This window comes from Homo sapiens, chromosome 6 (assembly GCF_000001405.40).
Source record: "Homo sapiens chromosome 6, GRCh38.p14 Primary Assembly".
NCBI classification, from domain to species: domain Eukaryota; kingdom Metazoa; phylum Chordata; class Mammalia; order Primates; family Hominidae; genus Homo; species Homo sapiens.
In genome coordinates this window covers 168,603,936-168,631,776 of record NC_000006.12, presented here as the reverse complement: position 1 = coordinate 168,631,776, position 27,841 = coordinate 168,603,936, and the positions used below count along the sequence as shown (strand labels likewise).

The 27,841-nt window shown below is 49.7% G+C and overlaps 1 protein-coding gene across 4 annotated transcripts in view, besides 4 other annotated features; it reads right to left on the bottom strand.

Moving 5' to 3' along the window:
• Nucleotides 1-27,841, bottom strand: part of SMOC2 (SPARC related modular calcium binding 2) — a 226,809-nt gene that overhangs the window by 36,216 nt on the left and 162,752 nt on the right. For all 4 annotated transcript variants that reach the window (NM_022138.3, XM_011536066.2, NM_001166412.2 and 1 more), the window contains exon 9: nucleotides 23,538-23,620. In NM_022138.3, the coding sequence (NP_071421.1) occupies nucleotides 23,538-23,620 (83 nt within the window). The remainder of the gene's footprint in view (nucleotides 1-23,537; nucleotides 23,621-27,841) is intronic.
• Nucleotides 8,910-9,079: an enhancer, noted in NCBI's record as "experimental_91305 CRE fragment used in MPRA reporter constructs". NCBI's record gives its function as "activates a minimal promoter by MPRAs in K562 erythroleukemia cells, with activity observed for both the introgressed and non-introgressed 6:169023463 variant alleles {active_cell/tissue: K562}" and the evidence as "EXISTENCE:reporter gene assay evidence [ECO:0000049][PMID:34662402]".
• Nucleotides 18,653-18,822: an enhancer, noted in NCBI's record as "experimental_91285 CRE fragment used in MPRA reporter constructs". NCBI's record gives its function as "activates a minimal promoter by MPRAs in K562 erythroleukemia cells, with activity observed for both the introgressed and non-introgressed 6:169013720 or rs118167661 variant alleles {active_cell/tissue: K562}" and the evidence as "EXISTENCE:reporter gene assay evidence [ECO:0000049][PMID:34662402]".
• Nucleotide 18,737: a transcriptional cis regulatory region, noted in NCBI's record as "Neanderthal adaptively introgressed variant 6:169013720 (GRCh37/hg19 assembly coordinates) or rs118167661 in the experimental_91285 CRE". NCBI's record gives its function as "modulates activity of the experimental_91285 enhancer by MPRAs in K562 erythroleukemia cells {active_cell/tissue: K562}" and the evidence as "EXISTENCE:reporter gene assay evidence [ECO:0000049][PMID:34662402]".
• Nucleotides 24,653-25,189: an enhancer, noted in NCBI's record as "H3K4me1 hESC enhancer chr6:169007268-169007804 (GRCh37/hg19 assembly coordinates)". NCBI's record gives its function as "activates a minimal SCP1, AML or CMV promoter by ChIP-STARR-seq in naive H9 embryonic stem cells {active_cell/tissue: H9 hESC(naive)}" and the evidence as "EXISTENCE:reporter gene assay evidence [ECO:0000049][PMID:30033119]".

Below are 27,841 nucleotides of genomic sequence, written 5' to 3'. Positions count from 1 at the left end.
TCCTCCTTAGAAAACATGTAACATGAGGAGGAAATAGGAAAACACAACCAACCAGAAACACGTGCACCAAACCAATGTCTGCATTCCTTCAAGACGAGGAGGAAATATGAAAACACAACCAACCAGAAACAAGCTCACCAAACCAATGTCTGCATTCCTTCAAGAAAAGCTTTTCCCAAGCACGTACTGTTAGTTTTATTAGTTGCCAATCCTTAAGTTTTCATGTCTGCAGCACAGCCCATGTTACCCTCCTAGGAACATCATCTATTCTCCACCTACTCACATCTTTCTCATTGTTAATAAATTAGTTCAAAGCCCATTTTCTCTGGAACACTCATTGCCTAGTCCTGCAGAGCCGAACCTTTCCTGTCCTCTAAGTTTCTTGCACCCAGTGTGTACCTACTTCAAACCCAGCACACTGCCAAATGCTTTGAGGGGTCATCTCTGATGCTCCAAGGCCTGACTTTTGTGGGACAGTATCGGGGAATCGGCCCCGAAATTCACGTAGGTTCTTTTCTATTTTTCCTAAGCATCAGCCGGCTTGAGAAATAAAGGGACAGAGTACAAAAGAGAGAAATTTTAAAGCTGGGCATCCGGGGGAGACATCACACGTTGGTAGGATCCGTGATGCCCCACAAGCCACAAAAACCAGCAAGTTTTTATTAGGGATTTTCAAAAGGGGAGGGAGTGTGCGAATAGGTGTGGGTGACAGACATCAAGTACTTAACAGGGTAATAGAATATCACAAGGCAAGTGTAGGCAGGGTGAGATCACAGGACCACAGGCCCGGGGTGAAATTAAAATTGCTAATGAAGTTTTGGGCACCATTGTCATTGATAACATCTTATCAGGAGACAGGGTTTTGAGAGCAGACCGTCTGATCAAAATTTATTAGGTGGGAATTTCCTCTTCCTAATAAGCCTGGGAGCACTATAGGAGACTGGAGTCTATTTCATCTCTGCAATCTCGACTGTAAGAGACGGCTATGCCCAGGGGGGCCAGTTCAGAGACCTACCCGCAAGCGCACATTCTCTTTCTCAGGGATGTTCCATGCTGAGAAAAAGAATTCAGTGATATTTCTCCCATTTGCTTTTGAAAGAGGAGAAATATGGCTCTGTTCCACCCGGCTCACCGGCAGTCAGAATTTAAGGTGATCTCTCTTGTTCCCTGAACATTGCTGTTATCCTTTTCTTTTTTCAAGGTGCCCAGATTTCATATTGTTTAAACACACGTGCTCTACAATTTGTGCAGTTAATGCAATTATCACGTGGTCCTGAGGCGACATACATCCTCCTCGGCTGACAGGATTAAGAGATTAAAGTAAAGACAGGCATAGGCAATCACAAGAGTATTGCTTGGGGAAGTGAAAAGTGTCCATGAAATCTTCACAACTTATGTTTAGAGATTGCAGGAAAGACAGGCATAAGAAATTATAAAAGTATTAATTTGGGGAACTAACAAATGTCCATAAAATCTTCACAATCCACGTTCTTCTGCCATGGCTTCAGCCGGTCCCTCCGTTTGGGGTCCCTGACTTCCCGCAACAGGACAGGCTTCTGTTGTTGAGTTTAGGGAATCAAATCAAGCTAAGAGGGCCTGTCTTCTTTCTACCTCACACATCTTTAACAAGAAGTGGCCACGGAGGGAGAGCATTGGTGTGGCACCCTGAGTTGGAGATGAACGAGACGCTGCAACCATCTCAAGGTTTCTTCAGATGCCCCACGACAGGACAGGCAGCCCCAGAACCCTGAGAAATGAGGGTTCCCCTGAAGAATGGGGCAGGAGCTCACAGCACAGTGGTGCTTCCCCAGGATGGCCTCCACCAAGCCACCCACCCCGGTGTTTCAAGCAAAAGAATAAGCTTTGAAAGGGAATGTAAGTAAGATGGCAAAAGGATTTACCAAGTCAGCTTCATAAACACCAGAAATGCTTACACTTCAGCGGAGCTTTAAAAATATACTATTCTATTAAACTGAGGACCAGTGATGGGAACTCTGCATGGAGACAGCTCTGGGACCAGCTTCCCCACACACATTCATCTGTTCACAGAGTCAGCTGCCCACTCAGTCCACATCTGCTTAATTAAAGGCCTGAACAGTCCATTTCATTCCTTGATGACTCTCAGCTTCCCCAGGCTGTACTTGAGGAGGGTGTTTTTAAACAGAAAAGGTGATACCTAGCTACAGGGATTCCTTCTGGTGGAAACTCTGGACAAATGATTTGCGGACAGTAATCCCAGCTGGATTAAAATTTCCCAGATGACAAGAGACCACCTGAATTAAATCCCTGGGGTCCAGAGCTCAGGCAGCCCGGCACCCAATCAGCCTGTCCTGTGGCGACAGGTGCCCTGCCTGGGACCTGGAGCCTTTGACAGCCAGCAGCACTGGGAGAGCAGCAGGCCTGTTGGAAGAGGTCGATGAATGGGGTTTCTGGGGGACCGCCCTATCTTGATCCCTTCCCATGTGGGAAGAATCAAAAGACAGCACTGAGGGCACTTGGGGGCGATGAGGACCTGTCGGAGACCCTGAAGCCAAGGCTTGCACCTTGCAGCTTGAGTGAGGGAACAACAGTGTGGTGGCTCCTTCTGGAGAACCAGTGGTGTCACACATTGTGTGCACAAAACTCCAGGAACAGCAAAGGCAGGAGCACAGCTGCTCCAGTGACTGCGAAGCCTCCTCTCGGAGCTCGAGGCAGCAAGCAGGGCTGTCAAGGGCAAGTTTTCCCCAGAGAAGAGAGAGCTGAAAAGAGGCCGTGAGTCCCCCTCGCCTGCCTGCCAGCCAACGCGGAGGGTGGAACCCCTGCGCAGCCCATGTCCCGGGCCCCCTGCCCTTCCCTCTCAGGGACCGGACTGCCCTCCACCCACGCCTCCGTGACCGGCCCAAGGTCGGAAACTGTGTGTTCCGAGAAGAGTGGTCTCTGCAGCAGTGAATGGCCTGGTTAAAGTTCATTCTCCGGCGGGGCACCACGCTCAAAGGCAGGGCCAAGGGACTGAAGGAAAGGCCTTCAGAGGCAGGCATCTACGGAGAGCAGGTAGTGCCTTCAGCACAGTCCCATCTACTGTACCACGCACAGTTTAGTAATCTTGCAGCAGGTCCTCCAGAATCCATGTTGAATAGGCAGACAAGAGTGAGACGTGGGGACTTAGGAGAAGGAATTGGTCAAATAAAAGTATAATTTATGTTGGATACATGCTGCGAGTTTTGCATTTTCCAATTTAGACTATTTCTCCAAATTACATACTCCTGTTTCCTAATGTGGAAGCTGTGTTTAGTATCTACTACAGAGTGTCCGGAGACCTGGCCCACAGTCTTTTAAACAGACTGTCACAAACCATCACTGTAACAGCAAACAGAAATCCAGTTCCATTTTGGAACGAAGTGTTTCACTTAAAGCTCAGTGTTTACTTATATTTTTTCAGGTGATATTAATTTATGGCAGCATGATGTTCTCCAGCCCTCGGTTTTTATTTGGGAGGTAGCCACACAGAGGACAACGGGATGTTACTGTTTTGTTTTCAAGAAAGTGTATGTCTCGACGAGGCCCTTTGTTTTGTCAAGCTAAAATATCAACAGAAAGTGAGGCTCTCCAAAGTGTGTTTATCTGGGAATCAACAAAGAAGTGCAACCCCAGAATCCGTGAGCCATGGCAAACCTAGGGGGCCACAGGCGCGCCCAGGGAGGCCAAGGAAGGCAAGGGCTTGTGGGGTGAGGAAGGTGGTTGTGAAACATGCCTCCTTGACAAGGATGGATGGCAAGAGTGGCGTTAGTCCAGGGTTCAACGGGCAGTCACTGGCTGATGTCCACACAGAAGGCTTCTCCGTGGGAGCCTGCAGTGCCTTTGTGCAAGGCTGTGGTTTTCCCCACTGGTGTGTGTGAGGGCCCCTCCTGTGGGCCTTTCTCCTCCGCTTAGCTGGGCTTGGCAGAAGTGACTCCATTTGAATTCTGACAATTTTCAGTTTCCAGTGGAGGCACAGTTTGAAAGGATCCCTTGCACGTGCCCTCACAGCTGTGCAGTACAGTCCACCCCTGTGCAGGCTGATTACAACTACATCTCAGGGCACAGTGGCTCCTACTGTATACTGAGTTCTTGCTGCCTGTCCCTGAGATGAGGACCACAGGCTCAGAGCTAAAGGCCATTTTGAATCTACCAGTGACAAAGCAATATATCACTCCATTGAATGGAAGTTTATAATTGATTTCTTGTTTGAATTGGATCACATTGAGCAACTACCAGAGTCACTGGATTTTGTAGTTCTCAGTTGTTTTCTCATTAAGGAACACATCATTTTTCTTCCTGACATCCTGCCCGCAGAGAGTAATACAGACAAGAAAAAGAGGGAAATCTAATAAAAATTAAAAGCTCAGCATGGAGCAAGCAATCAGGAGATAAAATACCAATTCCTGATATTAAAACAAGAGAGAAATCTTCCCTGTGCCTCTAACATAACAGCTAACAGTGCACTCACCTAAATCTCAACAAACAATATCACACTTTCCAAAGGGCAATTTTTATAAGGTGCTTCAATTATCAGCCTTTGGCATAACCCTGCAGTCAGCAGACTCAGTCTTACTAGAGGAGAAATGGGTGTCTATAATACACTCAGCTCACGGCTAACCCAAAGTCAACATGCTGGCCTATCAGGAGCTGGGGGTGTGTTTCATGGTAATTTTCTATACATATTTTTCTTGGGCTAGATTTTTACAAATATCTAGCTCCTCCAAGGTTATGGGGCCTGGAGTGTGTCTCTTCTCTGAAGCTGGTTAAATGAGAAGCTCCTTGTCTTGAGAATCACATAAACTAAGACTCCTATAATCAAACACAGCAGGTAGAAGAATGACTCTCCCGGCAGGTCCAGGCCAACCCAGGCCAACTCAGGCAACAGAGAACTGGGCTGTCAGGGCCCCGGGTCTCTATCACCACATTTTCAGCCTACAAACAATTCAAGCAGGTGTAGCCCAACATCTCCTTCAGCCGTTACCTAAAATTCTGGTAAAGACCCCTGGAATCTGAGTGATGCCACTTCCTGGCGCACTCTCCAAGATACACAGGCCGTTAAACACAGGCCTAGGTAACAGAACGCGTTAAGTTGCCACGCACTTTTGCTAAATGATGTTTGGCTTTAGAGTGACCTATAGCCCTTCCTTTGGGTGATAATCAGAGAGTAGAGCCCATTGCCTTTTGTGGCCCACAGTGATGCAGAGGAGACACAGGCTGTAGCAGAATGTGGAGTGTCGCGGCGGAACCCCAGTGCCTCAGGCCTGTCTGCGGAATCGCCACGGCCAGGTGTTCCTGTTAACTGCATGGATTCTGATTTCTTCATAAAACATAGAGAAAAATGCAGCTGTCTCCCCTTCTCTGGACGACCTCAAGTAATCCGAGCTGTGCCTGCAGAAATCTCGCACACATCGTCAATTATTCCTGACGAGGAAAAACAGACGCTGGCAACAGAATTCAGATTTTTCCACCTTCTTTCCTCACACCCCAAGCCACAGTGGTGAAGACTTTGCTTCTGCACAGGGAGCAGAAACGGGGGCGCGGACTTGAGTCTGTGCGAGGAGTGAGACAGGTCTGTCTCGCATAACCTAAAAGTAAAAAGAATTAATTCCTCCACAATGTAGATTGTCTTTTCCTAAGCAGTGTAAGGAACTTGCCTCCTTCACGTGGCAAGACCTCTGCTTCACGTGGGGGCTACTTGAATAATTTCTCCAGTGACTGAGGAAACAGGTGCTGGCCTCTTAGCTTTCTTAGAAAGGCAGCTCTCGTCTTAACCATTGCCTTGCTCACTGCAGAATAGGGGAGCCAGGTCAAGACCTTCACTCCTGGGTCCAACAAGGCTCCTGCCAGGCGATCAAACACGTAACCACGGAATTCGCTTCCTCCTCCGAGGCCCCTCGCCTCTAGGCTGAGAAAGCCCAGAGCTGGTCTGTTTAATCTGGGCCCACAGGCCGGCCTTCCTGGCTCAGCGGTGGAGCTGGAGCGGCTGCCCTGCCCTTGCAAAGGGAAGAAGCAGGTCTGGGTGTGGACAGGCGCATTTGCTTTCATTTGCTCCTGGGGCCCAGGGCTCACACGGACACAGGCACTTGGCTCGGCTTGGCTGTGTATACGCCCTCGAAGAATCGTAAAGAAAAATTAGGCTTTCTGAGAGCGAGTGCACAAAACGTGGCAGAAGACGGAGGCCTAGGTGTTTGCTCCCTGGATTTGAGCCTATGCTATTTAGTTTTAATAAAGAAAGAACAAGTGAGAAAGAAAACCACCAAAAGCAAATGTTACGATAAAAAGAAACTCGAATCCCAAGAACGCCATGCGGGGCATTTGAGCTGACCTTCAGGCCACACTGGGCGAGTCCTGAACCTCTCTGGGCCTCTCCGGCACAGCGAGGAGCTGGACCCAGTGCTCTCTGCTCACAACCTGCTCCAGCGTTCCCACATCGAAGCTGCTGTCTGCCTTGGGCCTGAAACCCCAGCAGGCTCCAGGAAGGGGACTCTGCAGCGCTGCGATCCAGTGTCTTTCTTCCCGAGGGGCAGCATCCTAAGCTGCATCTCCAGTGCCTGAGCAGATGCGGGTCTTCACGGTGAGGACGACCCACGTGCCCCACATGCCCTAGTGCTTTTCTACTGCTGGAGCGCCAGGCATCTCGTGACCTTGGGGAGCAAACGCGAAGCAGGAGCCCCTGGGAGGAAGGGCGGGGGCGGCGCTTCACAGTGTCCAGGGGGCAGGGTCGGGGTCCACATCACTCTGTTCATTTTGGGAATTGGAGCCCCATTCCAATCTGACCCAGATGGTGCTGCTGGTGGTGGTGGTGGTGTGCATGTGTCTGTGTGAGTGCATGTGTTTGTGTGTCTGTGTGTGGGGATGTGTGTGTCTGTGTACATGTGTGTTTATGTATCTGTGTTTGTGTGTGTGTTTCTGTGAATGTGTGTGTGTCTGTGTGCCTGTGTCTGTGTGTTTCTGTATGTCAATGTGTGTCTGTGTGCATGTGTCTGTGTGTATCTGTATTGTTGTGTCTGTGTGCATGTGTCTGTGAGTGTGTGTGAATCTGTATTGTGTCTGTGTGTCTGTGTCTGTGTGTCCGTGTACATCTGTATCTATGTGTGTTTATGTCAGTGTGTGTGTGCGTCTGTGTCTGTGTGTGAATTTGTACTGTTGTCTGTGTCTGTGTCTCTGTGTGTCTGTGCACATCTGTGTCTGTGTATCTGTGTGTGTGTTTCTGTATGTCAGTGTGTGTGTGCATGTGTCTATGTGTGAATCTGTATTGTTGTCATCTGTGTCTGTGTGTCTTTGTGCTCCATTACATGAGAGGACAACTTCATAACAATTCTCTTCTAGTTCCTTCAATAATAGATTGCAGAAGGTACTCCACATAAGCCTGCCTTTCAACGAGTACTTTATTGTACAGAATGTTTCTCTAGCGAGCTTCGTCTACATATGTGCGTGTTCACATGCAGCTCAGATTAGCTTCCATGTGGGTTGGATAGGTCACCACAGCACTGAGTGAAACTAAGTTACAGAGGGTGGTGTCTTTAATATCAATCCACTAATCTATGAACAAATCAATAACACTTCCTCACAGCACTGTCATGAGTCGTAAATGAACTCATATAGGGAAAGCACCTAGGCTGACACCGTCTAAGTTCTCAGTAAATATTTGCCATTTTGAATGTTGTGGTGGTGGTTGTTGACCCTGTTACTGTCTCCATTTGGTCCTAAGAACGGCCCTGTGGGAAGTCAGGGGCTTCTGTGCATCCGTGCAGCCACTCGGGTGAGCGCCCCTGAGCTGCAGGAGCCTCCTCTGCGGCGATGCCCCACCCAGCCGCCAGGCTCTGTGACCTCCAGCAGGTGAGCGCGCCTCTCTCCCTCCTCCCTTCCTCTGCCATCCCCACAGCCACTGCACCGACAGCCCAGGCCTCAGCACGCATCAGCCACTCTGGCTGCCCCAGTCTTGTGCATCTCTGAATCACTGTCCCGGAGGCTGTCGAAGTGATTTTTTTGGGGGGATAGGGGGTCTCTATGTTGTCCAGACTAGATGGGAACTCCCAGACTCAAGCAATCCTTCCGCCCAGCATCTCACCTTCCTGAGTCGCTGGGATTACAGGCATGAGCCACTGCACCCAGATTCATTAAAAATAAAAAAAATAATTATTGGCCAGGTGTGGTGGCTCACGCCTGTAATCCCAGCACTTTGGGAGGCCAAGGTGGGTGGATCACTTGAGGTCAGGAGTTCAAGACCAGCCTAGCCAACATGGTGAAACCCTGTTTCTACTAATAAATAAATAAATAAATAAATAAATAAATAAGCCAGGTGGGGTGGTGTGTAGTCCTAGTTACTCGGAGGCTGAGGCGGGAGAATTGCTTGAACCCGGGAAGGTTGCAGTGAGCAAAGATCATGTCACTGAACTCCAGCCTGGGTCACAGAGCAAGACTCTGTCTCAAAAAAAAAAAAAAAAAAATTAATTATCCATGTCTCAGCCAAAACCCTTGCAGGACATGGTCCAAATGCCTTAGTGGGCCTGACTGGAATCCCCGCAGCCCTCCAGCCTGCTCTGTCCTTTTAGAGTATTGCATGTTGACCTTGGTTTGCTGACTCAATCTCTACTATCTTCTTGGGCTTCCTATATTTAGAGCATTTCTATAGAGATACCCTGGACAATAGAGCACGAACAGAATTAAACAGATCATCTCACTTACTTAAATTTATGTAGCAGCAGAGCTAACTCACTGTCCAGATGGACAAGCTACGGAAGTCAGAAACTCCCCTACCCAGAGGGGCTTCCAGAAAAGACACCACTGCATGCCCTTCCCAGTGTGCACTAAGGCTGACTGCTCGGAAGTTCAATCCCACACTCAGCCCGAGTACATCCGGCTTTCTACAGATTGTCCTCTCCTTGGAGAAATGTGGGCATGGTGTCGGTCTCCGAGAGTGGCCTTGCACGTCCTGTACCTTGTCCCTTCTATGGATGCCAGGCACCAGGCACAAAAGGCATCTACTTTTGCAGTAAAGCATTTTGTACCTCAGCTTCCCCCCTGTGAAGGAGGCTCTCTGTGGAAGTGTGGATTAGAGAAATGGCATCTCAGGGTGGAAAGGGCTTGGAAATAGCAGTGGGAAGACAAGACAGGCAGCCCTGCTCTTGTCACTTTCTTGACACGGCAACAGTCTCACCTCTGCTGAGTTAGTTAAGTGGTCAGGAAGAAACCGAGCACACATGGACTCTAGGTCTGCCTGTCAGGAAATGGTACGTGCAAGAAAAGCCAGGGCTCTAAACAATAAAGAGTAATGTCAACACACAACATGCCATGGCGAGAACAAAGGGGAGACTTGCCAGGCACCAGGAGAGGCACAGGACTATCCTTGTCTTTTTTTTTTTAATGTAAAGGAGTTTAATTGAACAATGAACAATTCATGAATCCGGCAGCCTCCCAAGCCAGAACAGGCTCTGATACTCCTGTGCAGCCACATGGTGGAAGAAGATTCATTTTGTTCCATTCTTTGCTTCAAAAAGATTTATCCACTAGAGGCTGGCCGCAGTGGCTCACACCTGTAATCCCAGCACTTTGGGAGGCCGAGGCGGGTGGATCAGGAGGTCAGGAGATCGAGACCATCCTGGCTAACACGGTGAAACCCCGTCTCTACTAAAAATACAAAAAAATTAGCCAGGCGTGGTGGCAGGCGCCTGTAGTCCCAGCTACTCAGGAGGCTGAGGCAGAAGAATGGCGTGAACCCGGGAGGCGGAGCTTGCAGTGAGCCGAGATCATGCCACTGCTCTCCAGCCTGGGCCACAGAGCGAGACTCCATCTCAAGAAAAAAAAAAAGAAGATTAATCCATTAGAGAAATTCCAAAGACAACAATGCTATTCTGCTGCCTTTGAATAAACAATTTTACCCCTGTGTAACGCAATGAGTGGTGATATGGTTTGGCTCTGTGTCCCCGCCCAGATCTCACCTTGAATTGTAATCCCATAATCTACACATGTCAAAGGTAGGACCAGGTGGAGGTGACTGGACCATGGGGGTGGTTTTCCCCATGCTGTTCTCCAGATAGCGAGTGAGTCCGCGTGAGATCGTGAGATCTGATGGTTTTATAAACATCTGGCACTTCCCCTTCTCTCTCCTGCTGCCATGTGAAGAAGGACATGTTTGCTTTCCCTTCTGCCATGATTGTAAGTTTCCTGAGGCCTCCCCAGCCATGTGGAACTGTGAATCAGTTAAGCCTCTTAACTTTATAAATTACCCCATCTTGGGTATTTCTTCATAGCAGCATGAAAACAAACTAGTACAAGCGGGTTACTACTTAACAGAGCAAAATTGTAAATAAAACATGGACTTCAAATACATTTTTAAAGAGCATATCAAAGACTGCTCCAAAAAGTAGCACTTCATGGCAGATAATGTGTGTTCCTTAGGAGACGTTTTTAAAATCAGAAATCTGACACTGGGACTAATACTATTCTCCTCTGGAAATAAGGGGATTATACATTTCAAGTAAGTTGATTACATCAGGAAAAGCGTAGAGAAAAGATGCATAAATAGGACAGAAACTCAAAACACTAAAGTGTGTCTGCTGAAATTTACACTTGAACAATTTATCTCAGGAATTTCTCAAAGCGAATTAACAACTAATGGGCAGTCCATTTATCCTTCTCTGTCAGAGGGAAACCTCTGACGTTTCTGAAAGATTGTCCTTAATTTGACAAGTTAGAAGAGAACTAAGAAAAAAAGTAAATCATGCTGTCTGAGAAAACATCCTAGGGGTTTCCATAGCCTGTGGTTATTCATCACAAGCCAGGTTTTGAGAAGTTTTCGACCTTGGTTGGTCATCCAGGGTGTCCAAGGAGTTTGACACGCGGCTGATGCATCTGGGCACTGCAGCCTTAGTCTGTCCAATTAAATTCTTAAGGAATTATCAGGAAGAACATAACTCAATTGCTCCTATCAGCTGGGCCATTTCTATTAGTCTTGCCTTTATTCTAGAAGTAATAACCGCAGTGCTCTGGCCAATATCCAACCTGGATAATTGGATTTTCCCTGTCTTGATCCCCCTTGGAATTAATTTCTCCTGCAGAAGTGATTTCTCACGTTCACTCCTCTCTCCGCACAGTGTCAGTGCTGCCCATGCTGTCTGCGGTTCCCTGACTCAAAGGGTGCTATCTAGGGTGAGGGTGAAATGTTCTTGACATTGGTACAAGTCTGGAAAAGAGTTTACAAGAATTCTACCATAATATTTTTAGACATAGGGAAAATTTTCCTATATATCAGTCTCCATTTTCCCAATATTTCAAACTGAAATAAGGTGGCTTTCTTGTTCAAGAGCATTCATCCCAGGGTCATAAACCTGCAATCCTCACAGCCAGGTCTCAGCTCCAGAGTACGGGAGCTGGATCTCTATTGACTTGCATCTCCCAGAACATTGGCAAGCACCACCTATGCAACAGGCATGTAATAAATACTTGCTTGCAAAATTAGAAAACAAAGGGATTTGTAATTCTCATGAGAAGGTAAAGCAGAGAAGGCACCATGCAGTCTTAGTATTCTGCCAGCGTTGGGTTTAAAGACATAGGGGAATCAGGAAGATAAGCGCTTCCAAGTGAAAACAATAAACATGATTCAGTGAAGAGATGAAATACCGATAGCTAAAGAACGCTCAAGGCATCTGAATTGCTTGGTTTGGTGGAGGGGAGAGACCACAGGCAAATATTACACGCAGGTAGGGCTGTGTGTTTCATGCCTGAGCAACCTGGTGCAGGGGATCTGAAGACCTGAAGGCAGTGACTGCCAACCTCAGGGAGCACAGAGCCCGTGTGTCCGGAACCTTGAGAGCGAGCTGGACAACGGCCTGCCGGAGCACAGTGACCATGACTGGTACGTAGAGTAAAAGGGCCACAAGACACAGAGCGTGTAAACTGAAGCTGTGGGCTTTCTAACCATGGCAGGCACTGGCTACACAAGGGACAGCTGGCTGTGGAGACCTTCCGACTCCAGGCAGAGTCCCCTCTGTCCGGACTGGCCTCACTGTGGTCTCACCTGAAGTGCACAGCCTCTGAGAAAGAAGGGCGCTTTCAGGAGTACCACGGTGGTTTCCTGCCTGAGTCAGCGGCAAACGGGAAGTAAGTGAGACTTGCGTTATAGGAGGTTTTAATTTGATTATGGTAGAGCCTCAATCAATTCAGAAAAGATAGGAGGGAAGTCTAAACTAACCACTGTAGGCCAGTTAAAAGCATACTTGTTATTTTTAAGTGTATACCGTACTTGGAAGGCTTTTAAAGTAGTTAATCATTTAGGATAAACTGCTTTAATAGAGTTAGGAATTATTTGCAATAGAATAACAATTGTTTAGAAATTAATTTAATATATTTGATAGTGTTGGAGACCAGTTTGTTCTCAAGTTATTTAAATTGTCTCTGAAATATTGCTTACACTATTAATTTGTCTGGCAGATGCCTTTTTCATGATGAACGTAAATCTAAACTTTATTCCATCTCTCTTCTGCATAATCATAACTTTCAAAGTAACGCAGGCTAAACTGGCCAGAGCTGACTGTCCTGTTGTCGTTCAGAATGCTCCCTGCTGTCTTTGGGAATTTTTTAAATGGCACTTTATCTTTAAAAATCTGGCTCTAAAGGAAACCATAAACAAAAACAAGCCACATTGCTTCTAAAATAACTCAACAATGTGCTGTTGCGGTCACCGGCGCTGCTCAGAACTCAAGTTCTCCGATCCGTGCTGAGGGTCATTTTGTGTCAGGTCATAGGTCATCTAACACTTGGTTCTCTGATATTCTAGCAAATTCCTGGGTATTTTAAGATTAAGATATTTATTGTCTTATTATATTGAATAAACAAATAAAATGCAGCCCATAATTTCAGAAATTGGTTCCCAGTTTAGTGGAGTCTGTGGAGTAGTGACTGAAGGGCACTCCAGCTTTCCTGCCATCGCTGTCTCTCCCAGACCGGATGCCCGTGTGCCTGCTGCGTCGAGAGCCCATAGTCCCTGCAGGAGACGATGTCACCTTCCCCATCGCCTAAGCTGGGCTACTGATGTCCTGAGCGCACCGTCTTCCTGTCTGCATCTGTGCTCACCCCATGCGGGACATTCCTAGCCCTTCCATCGTCATTCCCTGGCCTTGTCTTAACTCTTTTACCACCTCTCCTTGACTCGCCTCTTAATGCCACTACCTGCCTCTCCTCAACTCTCCTCTTAATGCCACTACCCACCTCTCGACCCTCGTTTTAATGCCACTACCCACCTCTCCTCGACTCTCCTTTTAATGCCACTACCCGCCTCTCCTCCACTCTCCTAATGCCACTACCCGCCTCTCCTCCACTCTCCTAATGCCACTACCCGCCTCTCCTCCACTCTCCTAATGCCACTACCCGCCTTTCCTCCACTCTCCTCTTAATGCCACTACCTGCCTCTCCTCCACTCTCCTCTTAATGCCACTACCTGCCTCTCCTTGACTCGCCTCTTAATGCCACTACGCTGGCTCTTTGCCATTGGATGCCCAGTGAATTGCAAGCTGTGTGTTGTTACTAATCATGATCGGCTTGTTTGTAGGGCTCAGTGCAAAATGGAGCACGGAGGCCTCGCGTTTAAAAATTAATTATTTCATCGTGGTGATAGCACAGCAATAAACCGAGGGTCCTGTTGGAGCACTGGGCCCTGGGGCGATGGTCCAGGCCACTCCCATGCAGGCAGCCTTGCGGCTAATAACACGCCATAGGACAGATCCGTTTTCTTGGATGGGAAATAAATGGGTGGGTTAAAAATCTCAGATTATTTTATCCCTGGCAGACCCCATAAACCTGGCAATCCATGTCAGCATGCCTCTCAGGGAAATGACCTGTGTCCTGTGTGCTGGAGGCATGGCCCCTCAGCGAGGCGCTGGACGCGACCCCCGCCTCTCCAAGTAGGCCATGCAATCAGGCGAGATACAGTCCCATGCATGGCGGAGAGAAGAAAACAGAAAATGCACTGGGGTAAGGCCAGGAGGGGCCCCATCGGTCACAACAAGCAGTTCACATTTAATCTGGAGCCAGGAGACCCTGATGATGGGAAGCAATACAGGCCAGATCTGGGGTTTCCAGACACCTCTTCTTGCTGCATGGATGGGGATCAGAATCTACTTACAGTCTATTTGGAAACTCGCCTGGAGGAAGCAGTGGGGCAGCCAGCGAGATGCAAGAGAGCTTGGAGCAGAGACAGGACTTGTCCAAGCGGATGTGAGTGCGGGACAAGAGTGGAGTGCCCCTGGCCCATCAGAGTCCTAAACTTTTGCTTGAAAGGTCATGGGAGAAACTATAGCTCCAGCTTCCTGCCCCGTCTTCAGAGTCCACGAATGCAGTGCCCTGGGCCCCTGGGAGACCCGTCCTTGGGTGTGAGAAAAGCTCCTGCTCAGCCACGTCGGTGAGAAACAGCCACCCTGCTCAGTTATTCACACTCAGCTGTTGAAGTATCAATTAATAAACAGAAAAAGCGCCCAGCACCCTCCTGTACATAATTAGACATTTGTTAGTCTTTCCTCTACATGTTGAGGAAAATAAAACGCCTTTGTTTATTTAATTTCTCTATTCCTGTTCTTGTTTTTTTGAGAATGATGAATTCCCACATTCCCCCAAACCTCCAATGTCTCCTTACTCTCAAACATGAAGACAAAATATCAGCCAAAAGAAATATTGTAATAAAATCCCACTGAGAATTCTGCTGGCCTTGCTGCAAGAGTAGCCATATCGCTCCTTCTTAGTTCTCATCTCTCCGGTGCCCTCTGCAGGGTGCATCCTGTCCACTTTCTTTCCCAGGAGAAAAGGCAAGCGCTGAGTGAAACGCTCACTTCACCTGTGTCCCTGCACCTGCGTGGGCTCCCTCAGCTGCTGGAGGAGCTCCCTGCAACCCCCCCGCAGTGCAGCGGCATCTCGGGATGCTCCACAGACACCGGTTCTTGAAAACCACCTTTTCCCAACCGCTTGACTCCTCGGCACCCCTTGTCCCTGCTCTTCCTGTCTTATGATGCCTCTGGGATGGCAATTATATGTGTGGTTTTTCTGAGTTTTTATTTGCAGCAGTCTTTTCTCAATAAAACTGATTTAATGGTCCATTTCACTGTTACGCTTCCTAAAAACTGCAATTTCCTTCAAAAGTGTTACTAATCTTATTCATGGGCAAATTTCATATTTAGACATCCAACTTAGTGGTCAAAAAATAAAATAATGTAGATTCAGCTCTCTCTTCCAAGTGGTGCCATGTGGAACGGTCTCTTGCCATATCTGGGACTCCCCAGCCCTACCCATGAGGCTGAGTTGATGTTCTTTAGGTATCATGCCACCAGACAGCTCTCAAAAGCAGAATGCCAGGTTAAAAATCCTCTCTCACAGACAGCCTCGCATCCCAGCCTCCTCAACACCCAGTCCTTGTCCCAGCCTCATGGGTCATGGAGAGTCTGAGCCTGTGCCCTGAGCAGCTGGTTCTGGCGTGAGCCTGTATGGACACAGAGTGCAGATAGCTCACCTAACTACTCACATCCCCAGAATTACAGTAGTATGTTTCTAAAGCCTGAAGCTTTGTTCCCAGCTCAGCTAAAATTTAGAAGACTCGTGTCTGTAAATTCAGTCTTTGATATGACAGCAGGGATCACAGAAGTAGACATTTTTAGTGGGCAGAATATTGACACCTCGTGTCACCTTTGTGAGGCTCTCAAAGGCCACCAAGCGAGGTCCTGGCCGGCTCCTGTCTGCTTTGTAGAAAAGGTAAACACCGAGGTCCTTACATGTCACATGATACCTGGCAGGAATGTGTTGCTCCTGATCTAACTACCTTTTGGAAAATGTCCTAAGCTCCACTTAGGGCAAGGTAAGGTTCATTTTATGCTCTCTCAGAAAACCATAACTAATCTTCAAAAAATTAGAATAGTGCTAAAATCGTGTCTGAAAAATCCAGGTGTTGCCTCTAAGGTTTCTACATGAGTCAAAGACGATAATTATGCCAGCAATTGCTTGGGGCCCCAAGAAAAAAGATGCTCCTGGCTGTAGATGTGAAGAGACCCTGTGCTGGCTGTAGGTATGAAGAGGCCCCCTGTGCTGGCTGTAGGTGTGAAGAGGCCCTGTGCTGGCTGTAGGTGTGAAGAGGCCCCCTGTGCTGGCTGTAGGTATGAAGAGGCCCTGTGCTGGCTGTAGGTGTGAAGAGGCCCCCTGTGCTGGCTGTAGGTATGAAGAGGCCCTGTGCTGGCTGTAGATGTAAAGAGGCCCTGTGCCGGCTGTAAGTATGAAGATGAAGAGACCCTGTGCTGGCTGTAGGTGTGAAGAGGCCGTGTGCTGGCTGTAGGTGTGAAGAGGCCCTGTGCTGGCTGTAGGTGTGAAGAGGCCCCCTGTGCTGGCTGTAGGTGTGAAGAGGCCCTGTGCTGGCTGTAGGTGTGAAGAGGCCCCCTGTGCTGGCTGTAGGTGTGAAGAGGCCCTGTGCTGGCTGTAGGTGTGAAGAGGCCCCGTGCTGGCTGTAGGTGTGAAGAGGCCCCATGCTGGCTGTAGGTGTGAAAAGGCCCCGTGCTGGCTGTAGGTGTGAAGAGGCCCCGTGCTGGCTGTAGGTATAAAGAGGCCCTGTGCTGGCTGTAGGTGTGAAGAGGCCCTGTGCTGGCTGTAGGTGTGAAGAGGCCCCCTGTGCTGGCTGTAGATGTAAAGAGGCCCCCTGTGCTGGCTGTAGGTGTGAAGAGGCCCTGTGCCGGCTGTAAGTATGAAGAGGCCCTGTGCTGGCTGTAGATGTGAAGAGGCCCTGTGCTGGCTGTAGGTATGAAGAGGCCCTGTGCTGGCTGTAGGTGTGAAGAGGCCCTGTGCTGGCTGTAGGTGTGAAGAGGTACTGTGCTGGCTGTAGGTGTGAAGAGGCCCCCTGTGCTGGCTGTAGGTGTGAAGAGGTCCCCTGTGCTGGCTGTAGGTGTGAAGAGGCCCTGTGCTGGCTGTAGGTGTGAAGAGGCCCTGTGCTGGCTGTAGGTATGAAGAGGCCCTGTGCTGGCTGTAGGTGTGAAGAGGCCCTGTGCTGGCTGTAGGTGTGAAGAGGCCCTGTGCTGGCTGTAGGTGTGAAGAGGCTCCATGTGCTGGCTGTAGGTGTGAAGAGGCCCTGTGCTGGCTGTAGGTGTGAAGAGGCCCTGTGCTGGCTGTAGGTGTGAAGAGGCCCTGTGCTGGCTGTAGGTGTGAAGAGGCCCCCTGTGCTGGCTGTAGGTGTGAAGAGGCCCCCTGTGCTGGCTGTAGGTATGAAGAGGCCCTGTGCTGGCTGTAGGTGTGAAGAGGCCCTGTGCTGGCTGTAGGTGTGAAGAGGCCCTGTGCTGGCTGTAGGTGTGAAGAGGCTCCATGTGCTGGCTGTAGGTGTGAAGAGGCCCTGTGCTGGCTGTAGGTATAAAGAGGCCCTGTGCTGGCTGTAGGTATGAAGAGGCCCTGTGCTGGCTGTAGGTATGAAGAGGTCCTGTGCTGGCTGTAGGTATGAAGAGGCCCTGTGCTGGCTGTAGGTGTGAAGAGGCCCTGTGCTGGCTGTAGGTATAAAGAGGCCCTGTGCTGGCTGTAGGTGTGAAGAGGCTCCATGTGCTGGCTGTAGGTGTGAAGAGGCTCTGTGCTGGCTGTAGGTGTGAAGAGGCCCCCTGTGCTGGCTGTAGGTGTGAAGAGGCCCCCTGTGCTGGCTGTAGGTGTGAAGAGGCTCCATGTGCTGGCTGTAGGTATGAAGAGGCCCTGTGCTGGCTGTAGGTGTGAAGAGGCCCCCTGCTGGCTGTAGGTGTGAAGAGGCCCCCTGTGCTGGCTGTAGGTGTGAAGAGGCCCTGTGCTGGCTGTAGGTGTGAAGAGGCCCCCTGTGCTGGCTGTAGGTGTGAAGAGGCCCTGTGCTGGCTGTAGGTGTGAAGAGGCCCCCTGTGCTGGCTGTAGGTGTGAAGAGGTCCTGTGCTGGCTGTAGGTGTGAAGAGGCCCCCTGTGCTGGCTGTAGGTGTGAAGAGGTCCTGTGCTGGCTCTAGGAGAAGAGGCCCTGTGCTGGCTGTAGGTGTGAAGAGGCCCTGTGCTGGCTGTAGGTGTGAAGAGGCCCCCTGTGCTGGCTGTAGGTGTGAAGAGGCCCTGTGCTGGCTGTAGGTGTGAAGAGGCCCTGTGCTGGCTGTAGGTGTGAAGAGGCTCCATGTGCTGGCTGTAGGTGTGAAGAGGCCCCCTGTGCTGGCTGTAGATGTGAAGAGGCACTGTGCCATGCCCTTTAGGGAGAGGCCTTGACCATTCATGAAGTCTGCTGGGTCCATAGAGCTTCCAGAAACACTTGGGTGAGAGGCTGTTTGACCAAAATAAAGACCATTTCTTAGACTGTGTGCCAGGCGGAAGAGCTCTGGGGATCCAGGAGAGGACCCTGGCTTGGGGTACAGGGCAGTAACAGAGGGGCCATGCCCAGGCTCCCCAAGGGGCTCCTCATGCCGCCCCCTCTGTCCTCACACTGGTGCCACTGCTGAACCACCAACATCAGGACACCCACAGAAAGACAGTGCTGTTTTCACCTGAGCTGGTGGAGGAAGGAATGGCTCACAGGATACGTCAGACTTCCCCTGCACCTTCCTGACCCCCAGGGCCCAGCTCCTGTGCTGCCTTTGGGGTGGCCTGGACCACAGTGCCTGAGAGTGAGATCAGACTGCACGCAGCGCAGATCGTCACAATGACGAAAATGTGAGCGTTCCCTGCCAGTGTAGACTGAAATGAAGCAACGCCCAGAGGAAAGCCAGTCTGCTCATTCGAATACGATTGGTCCTGAGAATGAGAGTCAGCCGGAAAACCGTATCCGAGAGTGAAAGACACAATTGCATGATCAGGAAAGGTGAGAGGAAACCCTGCACTCTAGGCCATGAAATCACTTATTTTGACTTCACTTTAGATCAAAGTCTCCATTGTAAGTTTTCGAGCCAACTCTCCTTGGCCGATGCTCCTGCCCTGAACCTGCCGGCGACTGGGCCTGCTCTGCTCTGGACAGGTGCATCTCCCTGCACCTCTGTCTTTCGCCTGCATCTCCTCTCTGACAAGGTTGTGCCGATGGCCTCTTGCATTGCCGCGCCGAGGGCCTACGAGCCTGAATCACAAATGGAGCCGGTGCCGCAGCTGAGGCAAGCAAGGGACTGTTCTGGCTTTTTCCCCTCTCACTCAGCAGAAGGGGCCCTGAGGACTGATGGAGATCACGAACCCAGTGCTGCTGTTTGAGTAAAGGCTGGGGTCACCCTCTCCCCTGATGGAGATCACGAACCCAGCGCTGCTGTTTGAGTAAAGGCTGGGGTCACCCTCTCCCCGATGGAGATCATGAACCCAGCACTGCTGTTTGAGTAAAGGCTGCGGTCACCCTCTCCCCGATGGAGATCACGAACCCAGCACTGCTCTTCAGGTAAAGGCTGGGGTCACCCTCTCCCCTGATGGAGATCACGAACCCAGTGCTGCTGTTTGAGTAAAGGTTGGGGTCACCCTCTCCCCTGATGGAGATCACGAACCCAGCGCTGCTGTTTGAGTAAAGGCTGGGGTCACCCTCTCCCCTGATGGAGATCACGAACCCAGCGCTGCTGTTTGAGTAAAGGCTGCAGTCACCCTCTCCCCGATGGAGATCACGAACCCAGCACTGCTCTTCAGGTAAAGGCTGGGGTCACCCTCTCCCCACACTGGAAAGCCCATTCAAGACCAGTGCTGCGGGGCCCTAGATAAGCAAAACCACATGGCTAGTAAGTCAAAGCTTACCAGTATCACTTAGCCAAAAAGTCTTCTAGTAGGAAAAGAAAACTGCCTACATCCTTCGTTCCACCTCGCGGATGCCGGGAACATGGAGGTGCAGTCTCCACCTCCCCAGGGACCCTGTGAGGCACGGGGCAGAGTCCACACCCACACCACACGCTGTGCCCCACCAGGTGGGAACAAGCTGGACAGGTGCATGTGAGTGGCCGGCCGCCTGGGCATCCTGAGGAAGCCGTCCTGAAGGATGTGTGGGAGGCACAGGAGCTAAGAGAGATGCAGCTCAAGCAGAGGGAAGAATTCCAGCAAGGCTCAGACACGGGAGCCACATCAGGGCCTGACATGGGAGCCACAGCCAGGCCCGACACGGGAGCCACGGTGGGTCCCGGACATGGGAACCAGAGCAGGGCCAGACATGGGAGCCACAGCCAGGCCCGACACGGGAGCCACGGTGGGTCCCGGACATGGGAACCAGAGCAGGGCCAGACATGGGAGCCACGGCCAGGCCCGACACGGGAGCCACAGTGGGTCCCGGACATGGGAACCAGAGCAGGGCCAGACATGGGAGCCACGGCCAGGCCCGACACGGGAGCCACGGTGGGTCCCGGACATGAGAACCAGTGCAGGGCCAGACATGGGAGCCACGGCCAGGCCCGACACGGGAGCCACGGTGGGTCCCGGACATGAGAACCAGAGCAGGGCCAGACATGGGAGCCACGGCCAGGCCCGACACGGGAGCCACGGTGGGTCCCGGACATGGGAACCAGAGCAGGGCCAGACATGGGAGCCACAGCCAGGCCCGACACGGGAGCCACGGTGGGTCCCGGACATGGGAACCAGAGCAGGGCCAGACATGGGAGCCACAGCCAGGCCCGACACGGGAGCCACATAGGGCCCAACAGACACACCACGGCCCCGACACAGGAGCCACAGCTCAATGCAAGTGCCTGGTTCTCCAGCCTCACATGAGGACCTGGGAGGATGTCAGGGGGCTGGGGAGGCTGGAGAGACAGAGTAACCCTGTTATTTAAAACACCAACCAGAGTGTGATCAGAGATGCCAGGGCAAAATAAAGTGAGGTGAACCTGTCCAAGAAGAAGGTGTGGTTTAGGAAGGGCTGGTTTAAGAAGATCTGGTTTAGGAAGGTGTGGTTTAAGAAGGTGTGGTTTTGTGCCTCTTTTTAGAATTTCTGCTACACAGGATGTGATAGTCCCAGGAGGAAACCTACACAATGAAAGAAGAACCTTCAAAAGCCAAAACGGTGACCCAGTCGTCACTATGTAGCCCCTTAAGCCAGACCTAGATCTCTTGTGCCATATAATAAAATGATGGCCTCCAAAGACTCAATGATCGTTTGCTGCCAAACACCTGCTAACTGTCCTACATAAGATGTGAATAAGTATTTGGTGACAAATCAACTGCTCACCCCAAACAAGTGAATTTTGTGTGAAAATATTATCAGCTTTACATGGAAAATAGAGGACCTACATTGGCAAAACCTTAGAAAAGCAACTTCAAAAGGAAACGGTACCTTTTAAGAATAAAATACATCAGCCTGCATGGGACCTGAAGGATCTTCCTACTCAAAGGCTGCTGTGTTATTTTGGAAATAGGTTTCTCCTCTCTACCAGGAACAGCCTCTATCCTGCAGCTATTTTAAGACCTACTTGTTTTTTCCTAATAAGGATAATTATCTCCAAATAATCAAAATAATTAAGTGGTCATGAACAGTGCACTCCCAAACATCTATGGCAACAGCACAAGCTGACCTTTGCACAGTTTGCGTCACGTGGCTTTGATGCCTCAGCAATCTGGTTTTCGTCTGAGGTGTGGGCAAGGAAACGCCGTCTTCATTGTGAGCATCTAACCATCCTTCTCCTCCTGTTTTAGCAGAGAGGAGCATGGTTTCTGACGTGCCCATCCTCACAGTGTGGGATGCTGTATCTCCAAATGGCACCTCTGACACTCAGAGAAGACAATGACATCATGTTTCTCAATATCAAGGACCAGTTGTTCTCACTGGACAAATGACTGTGTCATCTTTAAATCAATAGTCTGGGTCTAGAGTGTAACAGATTAGATTCCACCAGGAAAAGGTCTTCCTGCCACGTGCACTCCTGAGAGGCAGCAGAAGCCAGCCTCTGTCACGGTCCCTTTTACCAATGAGAAGCGAAACTGACTTCCATAAATTGCACTCGTATCACCTGTGTGAAGACCACAGTGCAGCTTGGCTTAGAAGTGATGCAACTTTGTGCTATCGAAAAAAAAAATAAGTTAAGAATCTTGGACTCTTCAAGAAGTACACTAGGGGCAAAAGACAGATTGAAGTGCACGTGACAAGGTCAAGACCAACCAAAACCAGGAAACATTTATTGAGGGCTTTCCATGCAGCAAGCATGTGAGAAGCTCATTATGTCTTTTAAGGAAACATCTTGCCCACCAATATTAAAATCGGACTTCAGAGACAAGAGATGACACCAGATAATGGAGGAGGAGAACTCCCTCCTGACAGGGCCATCAGGGGGATGGAATTCAGCCAGCAGCTGAGCACAGCCTGCAGACACGGGGTCAAAGGCAAAACACCCTTCACTAGGCATGCACAGGGACGGGTGTGTTTGCACCATCGTGATCTCTTCCCCCACCCTCACCTGCGAGATCCAGAAAGAAGCTGATTCATTCAACAGAAAGCAAGTTGATTGCTCACACAAGGACCATACTCTCATTAAAAAAAAATTACTAGAACCAACAGATTCCTCAAACCTGCCTCACAAGGAAGACACTGAGGAGGTACACGGCTGGGAAACCATGAAGAACTAAGACAAAGACAGTTCCTAACAAGCCAGCCCAGTGAGCTGCACGGTGTTTACCAAGAGCTGGCAGAATAACTGTGCTGTGTGTCCCCGGAACCACATTCCGCCCTCTGCTTCCCTGTGTCAACCATTCTCGTTACTCATGTTGTGGAATCGCTATGAACACGTAGCAATGAAACATGTATAGACTGTGGACATTCTGCTCTACCCTGTCCTCATTTATAAGCCGAACATCTTTACTTTTTACAATTTAAAACCTTTCTACCAATGACAGTACAAATAGTACAGGAAGCACAAAAGTTTACTCATCCGGAATTCATCCAGTTTCTGTATGAGACAAGATCAAGCACGTACTCTAAACAAAGTACGCTGTAGTGTGATTTTCATGTCTCTGAGATGTTGGTTAAACATACACAATCTGGAGATATTTAGAGAAAAAAAGATCAAAATGAAACAAATGGCAAGTAGCTTTGAAGCTTCTTAATGATATATCAAATTCACCCCATGACGTCTTTTTGTGACTGCATTTTTCAATTATTATAAATTTTAATTCACCTCTGTTTAATTACAATATTTCTTTGTAATTAAACTCAATACATACATTCAACTCATGTTTTCTTAAAACCTAAACTTTAGCTTCATGAACTGTTGATTCAGTGAAAAAGGAATGTCAGAAAGTGACAGTGAAATGTAGGTAGAATGAATAAAGGGTTCTTTGGGCTGTGGGGTTCAGGAGCATCTAGAGAGGTTAGGGTGCTGTGTGCTGATCTGATTTGTGAGGGGCCCTTTCTTTCTCTTCCATGTCTGACCTTCCATACACAGCAGCAGGGAGGAAGCCCCCCAGGTGCTCCCCGTGTGGGCTCCTGGCCCCCTGTCTCCCTGCCTGGACTCAGGGCCCTCTGCAAGGAGGTAGGAGGCCTCAGAGTCAGACAGGCCCCCTGGGAAACAGAGTCAGATAAAGTCTTTTTCATTCCAAATTTGCAAGAAACTGCATGGTGGGGCCTGTGGATTCGGGCCACACTCGCGGGTGCTGCTCACCTTGTAGCTGGCGGCCCTTGTACAGGTCCCGGGCTTTGGCTGGGTGGGCCCTGGCCGTGTTGTCACATTTCGGCTGCTCGTACCTATGGGCGGGGGGAAGGCGGGGGAAGGAGAGAGAAAACAACGGGCTTGAGACCAGCTGTGGTTTGTCTTCCATTTCTGGAGTGTCCTACCCTAGCATACACCGTGACCTGTGGCTCTGATGCTATGACACCCATGACCTCCTCACTCCTTTCTGTCACCTTTGTGGATATTTGGCATAGAAAGCTATTGCTTGCAGTCAGTAGGAAGAAGCACACTGTGACTTCAATCACACAGCAGGGCCGTCTCTCCATCCCGTCTCTGAAATGAATCTCATCTAGCAGCTGCCAAGCACCCACACCTCCCCCTCCTCCCGTTGCAGGGTTGGATGGAGCAGCGCCCACACCTCCCCCTCCTCCCGTTGCAGGGTTGGATGGAGGAAGCACTTGGGTTGTTTCGTCAGAGCAGGAGTGTGTGCACGAGGACAGAGGGTGTGACCACTACCCCCACCCCGCCCAAGGAAAGGATGCAAAGGACTTCAGGATTTAGATTCCTGTAGCACCAAAGGCCAACTCATTTCCAATCCACCTCGTGAAGCTACGAAAGTCTGCCTCAGTGTTAAAAAAAAAAAAACGACTCTCTGGTCCCACTTAGCATCAATGACAAACTGCAGGTTAAGTCCTGAACAGACAGGGCTGACATCCAAGAGGGCAGGTGCCCTGGCTGCTGCGGTTGCAGAGCTCATGGGAGCAAGTGGCTCTGTGGTACTACTGAATTGGCAGTGGGAACCAGGGTGCCTGTCCCTAAGGGTGTCAGATTCAAATCCGGTAAACAGCTCATAAACACTGCCATATGCATGCCATTCAGCAGCCCTTGACCAAGGCCTGCTTTGCCTGGGTTTTATCCTTGTCCTGGGTGTAGGGCAAGGAGGAGACCCCTGCCACGCAGACCACCAGCCTCATCCAGTAGAGGAGGTGGACATTTAAACAGAGTGCGGGCCACCATGAGAACCTGCCTCCCGGAGCCCCCACCCCCAAGGAGGACAATCTTCCGCACACAGAAATCCTTCACTGTGGCTTTCACCAAGAAGTGGGGCTTCTCACCAGCATGAAGGAGACGCCGGGGAGGTGCGTTCCCGGGAGATGGGAGATTCCTGGGTCAGCACACCCACCGCCCCTTTCTGTGGACTCGCAGGACCCCAGACAGCCCACACCAACTTTCCTCGCTTCCCCTCCACTCAGCTGACCTCATGCTGCATGGCGGCTCCCCAGCCCCCTGCCCCTCCCATCCATGAGTGTCAGGCACGTGGAATCCTTCGTGGCGGCCTCCTCAGGCCCTGGCAAGTGACACACTGGGAGACGCAGTGCCCGCCAACACCATCATGGGGCACAGGTGCAGTCTTGGGGCTCCAGAAAGACTCCTTGGAAAATGAAGAAGACAAGCAGGAGGCCAGCGGGAGGGGGTCCGGCCCGGAGCCCTGAGGTTGTCAGGAGGCCAGCGTTCCGCCAGTTCTCATCCTCTCCCTCTGCCCTATTTTCTTTTTTCATTCTTAAAGAAAGGGCTACAAGATCCTATTTACTTCACAGAGATCACTTTAGGTTCTATTTTTTTCATTGCTTACATGCTTTTCAGCCATAGAAAATAAAATGAAATTTCTCTCTAAAGGGACATATTTAAAGTGTTCTAACAGAGGCCCCAGAGAGTCCAGCAGTCCCAGTGAGAGGACCCCATCCAGCTGTCATAAGAGTCAGGAACCACACATTCCTGCCACCCTTGGCCCTCAATAGCCTCTTTGATACCAGAAAACCTGCCACCCCAGTCAGACAAACTTAATATATCTTTTTGAAATATTGTTTTTGAAATTAAAGTCTCTGACACACTCTGGCAAACAGTTAAGCTATCACATTCTAACTGAAAGCCATTAACTCATATTCTTTGAAAATGTGGGGGTGGGGGTCAGCTCCAAGAGGTCACAAGAAAGGCGAACTCAGTAAAGGACCTGTTACCCAGCCAGGTGTCTCCTAATGCAGCTGCTGCTGCGGCCAGCAGGTGAGAAGTAAAACATTCACCCAGAGATGATGTGTACAGGAAGCTGGCTTCCTGAGGGATTAGGAAGCTCTTATTTTTACTTATGCGTGTTAAATTTGTAGAACTAGGGCACTCTGAGGGCTGAACGATCTTCACTTCAAGCTCCGGGTCAGTGTCTCAGGGGCCGAATTGAGACCTACATTAGAATGGACCCTTCCTGCCCGAGGGCTTATGAAGGGGGAGCTGCCAAAAGCCAGGCGAATGTCCCAGCTCAGAATGGATGACGTAGACTCTGAGGATAGAGTTCCAGCCCTTAGGGGCCATCTTGCTTCTCCGAGTATCAGAGGGCACACCTCCTTAGAGCCCTGGACTGCTCTGTAGTGTTAGAAAAAGGAAGTGTTAACATGAACTCTGTTGTGCCCCTGAAGCCCTTCAGGATCAGTACCTGTATCCTTCACATGGGTGGCACGAGACTAGATCATTTCTTACCCTCATTCCAAATCTCCTAGCTTCGAAGCAATCAGGAAGCCAGCCACCTGGACGGGCATTTCGGTTTTGTTCCACATTTGGGATAGAGGTATGTTGCAAATCCTATCACTGATGCTAATATAAAAATATATATTTACATGACAGTATTCTGCTTGTTTTAATGAGTAGTGTGAAATGCCCATGACTTGCAGAATTGACAATCTCAAGAGAGGAGAAAGAGGAGAAATAAGTCCGTTAATTTCAGCTTTGTCATCCATCACCATTCTTTTCAATAGGTTTATTTTAACTTATTTGTATAAGGAAAAACACAAACGTCTCTTCTCTCATTGCCCATCAGATACCAGGTTCTCTGCCAGGGAGAAATGCAGTCCTATGCCCACATGATCCCCTGCACACCCCACTGAAAGACACGCTCTGGGGTTGGGGAACAGAGGCTACACACCTCATTGAGAGACATGCTCTGGGGTCCAGGAACAGAGGCTGCCCAGATGTGAGGTAGGAACAGCCAGCAGTTGGATGGCAGACAGACAAAGGCTTCATCAGCCTCTCTGTTCTGGGCATGAATGCAGAATCTGGCCATCAGCCTGACTCAGCTCAGTCTGATGGCCCCTTCCCATTCTCTCCTCACTACTGTTAGTGGCTGAGGGGAAACTTGCCCCTCGGCTCCCACCTGGACTCTACCATTCATGGGGGCCTGCACTCATGACAGGTGCCTGGACCCCTCCTTCCGGGATCTGCAAACAATGACGAAGATGCCAATTTTGACACAAAAGTCAGGGGCACTAGGAAGGGCTGAAGCCTCTGCCCCTCCTCATATCTCCTTCTAAGTGATGGGTCCAACTAGAAACTGCACCAGAGCAAGCTGCTCCTGCCTCATCTGGGCAGAGTGGCATGTACTTGTGGTCCTTGGGATGAGTCTGCCACAAAACTAACGCCTTTTAATTCTCATGCATGGTGACATGAGGATAAGAGAGGTCACATATCAAAGACGATGCAATTTATGTTTATAGCTTCTTACTGTTACTGGATTATTAAATGTTTCTTCCCCATCAGGAAATTTAGAGGATGATTAAAGAAAACAAACATCTTAATTGCCAACCCAGGTATAAATCAAAACTATGAAGTATCTCCCTGGGGCTGCTTATTTCAGAAAATTAATAAGAAAATTGCGCTGAGGGAACAGAGGGCATTTAAATAGAAATGCGACCTGGTTACTCAATAATGGCAGAATCACTGGGAGATGAGGAATGGTGAAGCTGGCTGTGGCTTATCAGATACTGCCTAATATTGATTATTTTGCCTGGTGCCCAGTACCCATGTCTCCCTAGGTGATCAATTCAAACCAGTGTAAACCAACTCAATTTTTCTTGCCAGCAGTGGGTTTAGCCATGGACATATGATCTAATTCTGACCAATGATCCATGAATTAAATTTGCTAGCAGAATTCTAGGGAAGGGATTTTTGGCTCCAAAGAAACAAAGAGATGGGCTCCTGTGTCCTCTGAGCACTGTGGCATCTGGATGAGATGTCCGGATCTGTTGCAGCCATCCTGTGACCAAGAGGGGAACCTGCCTAATGGCCAAGAAAACAGAATGAGGGTGTCAGGGCGGCTTTGGGAGAGGGAATGTCCTCGGCAACATTGCCAGATGACAGCCTCAATGGAGGCTGAGCCTGCTCCACTGCTGTGCCTCTTAGGGAGATCATGCCATCTCTGGTCATTTATATTCATTCATCAGTTTCTCATCTCACTACATGAAACCAAAAGC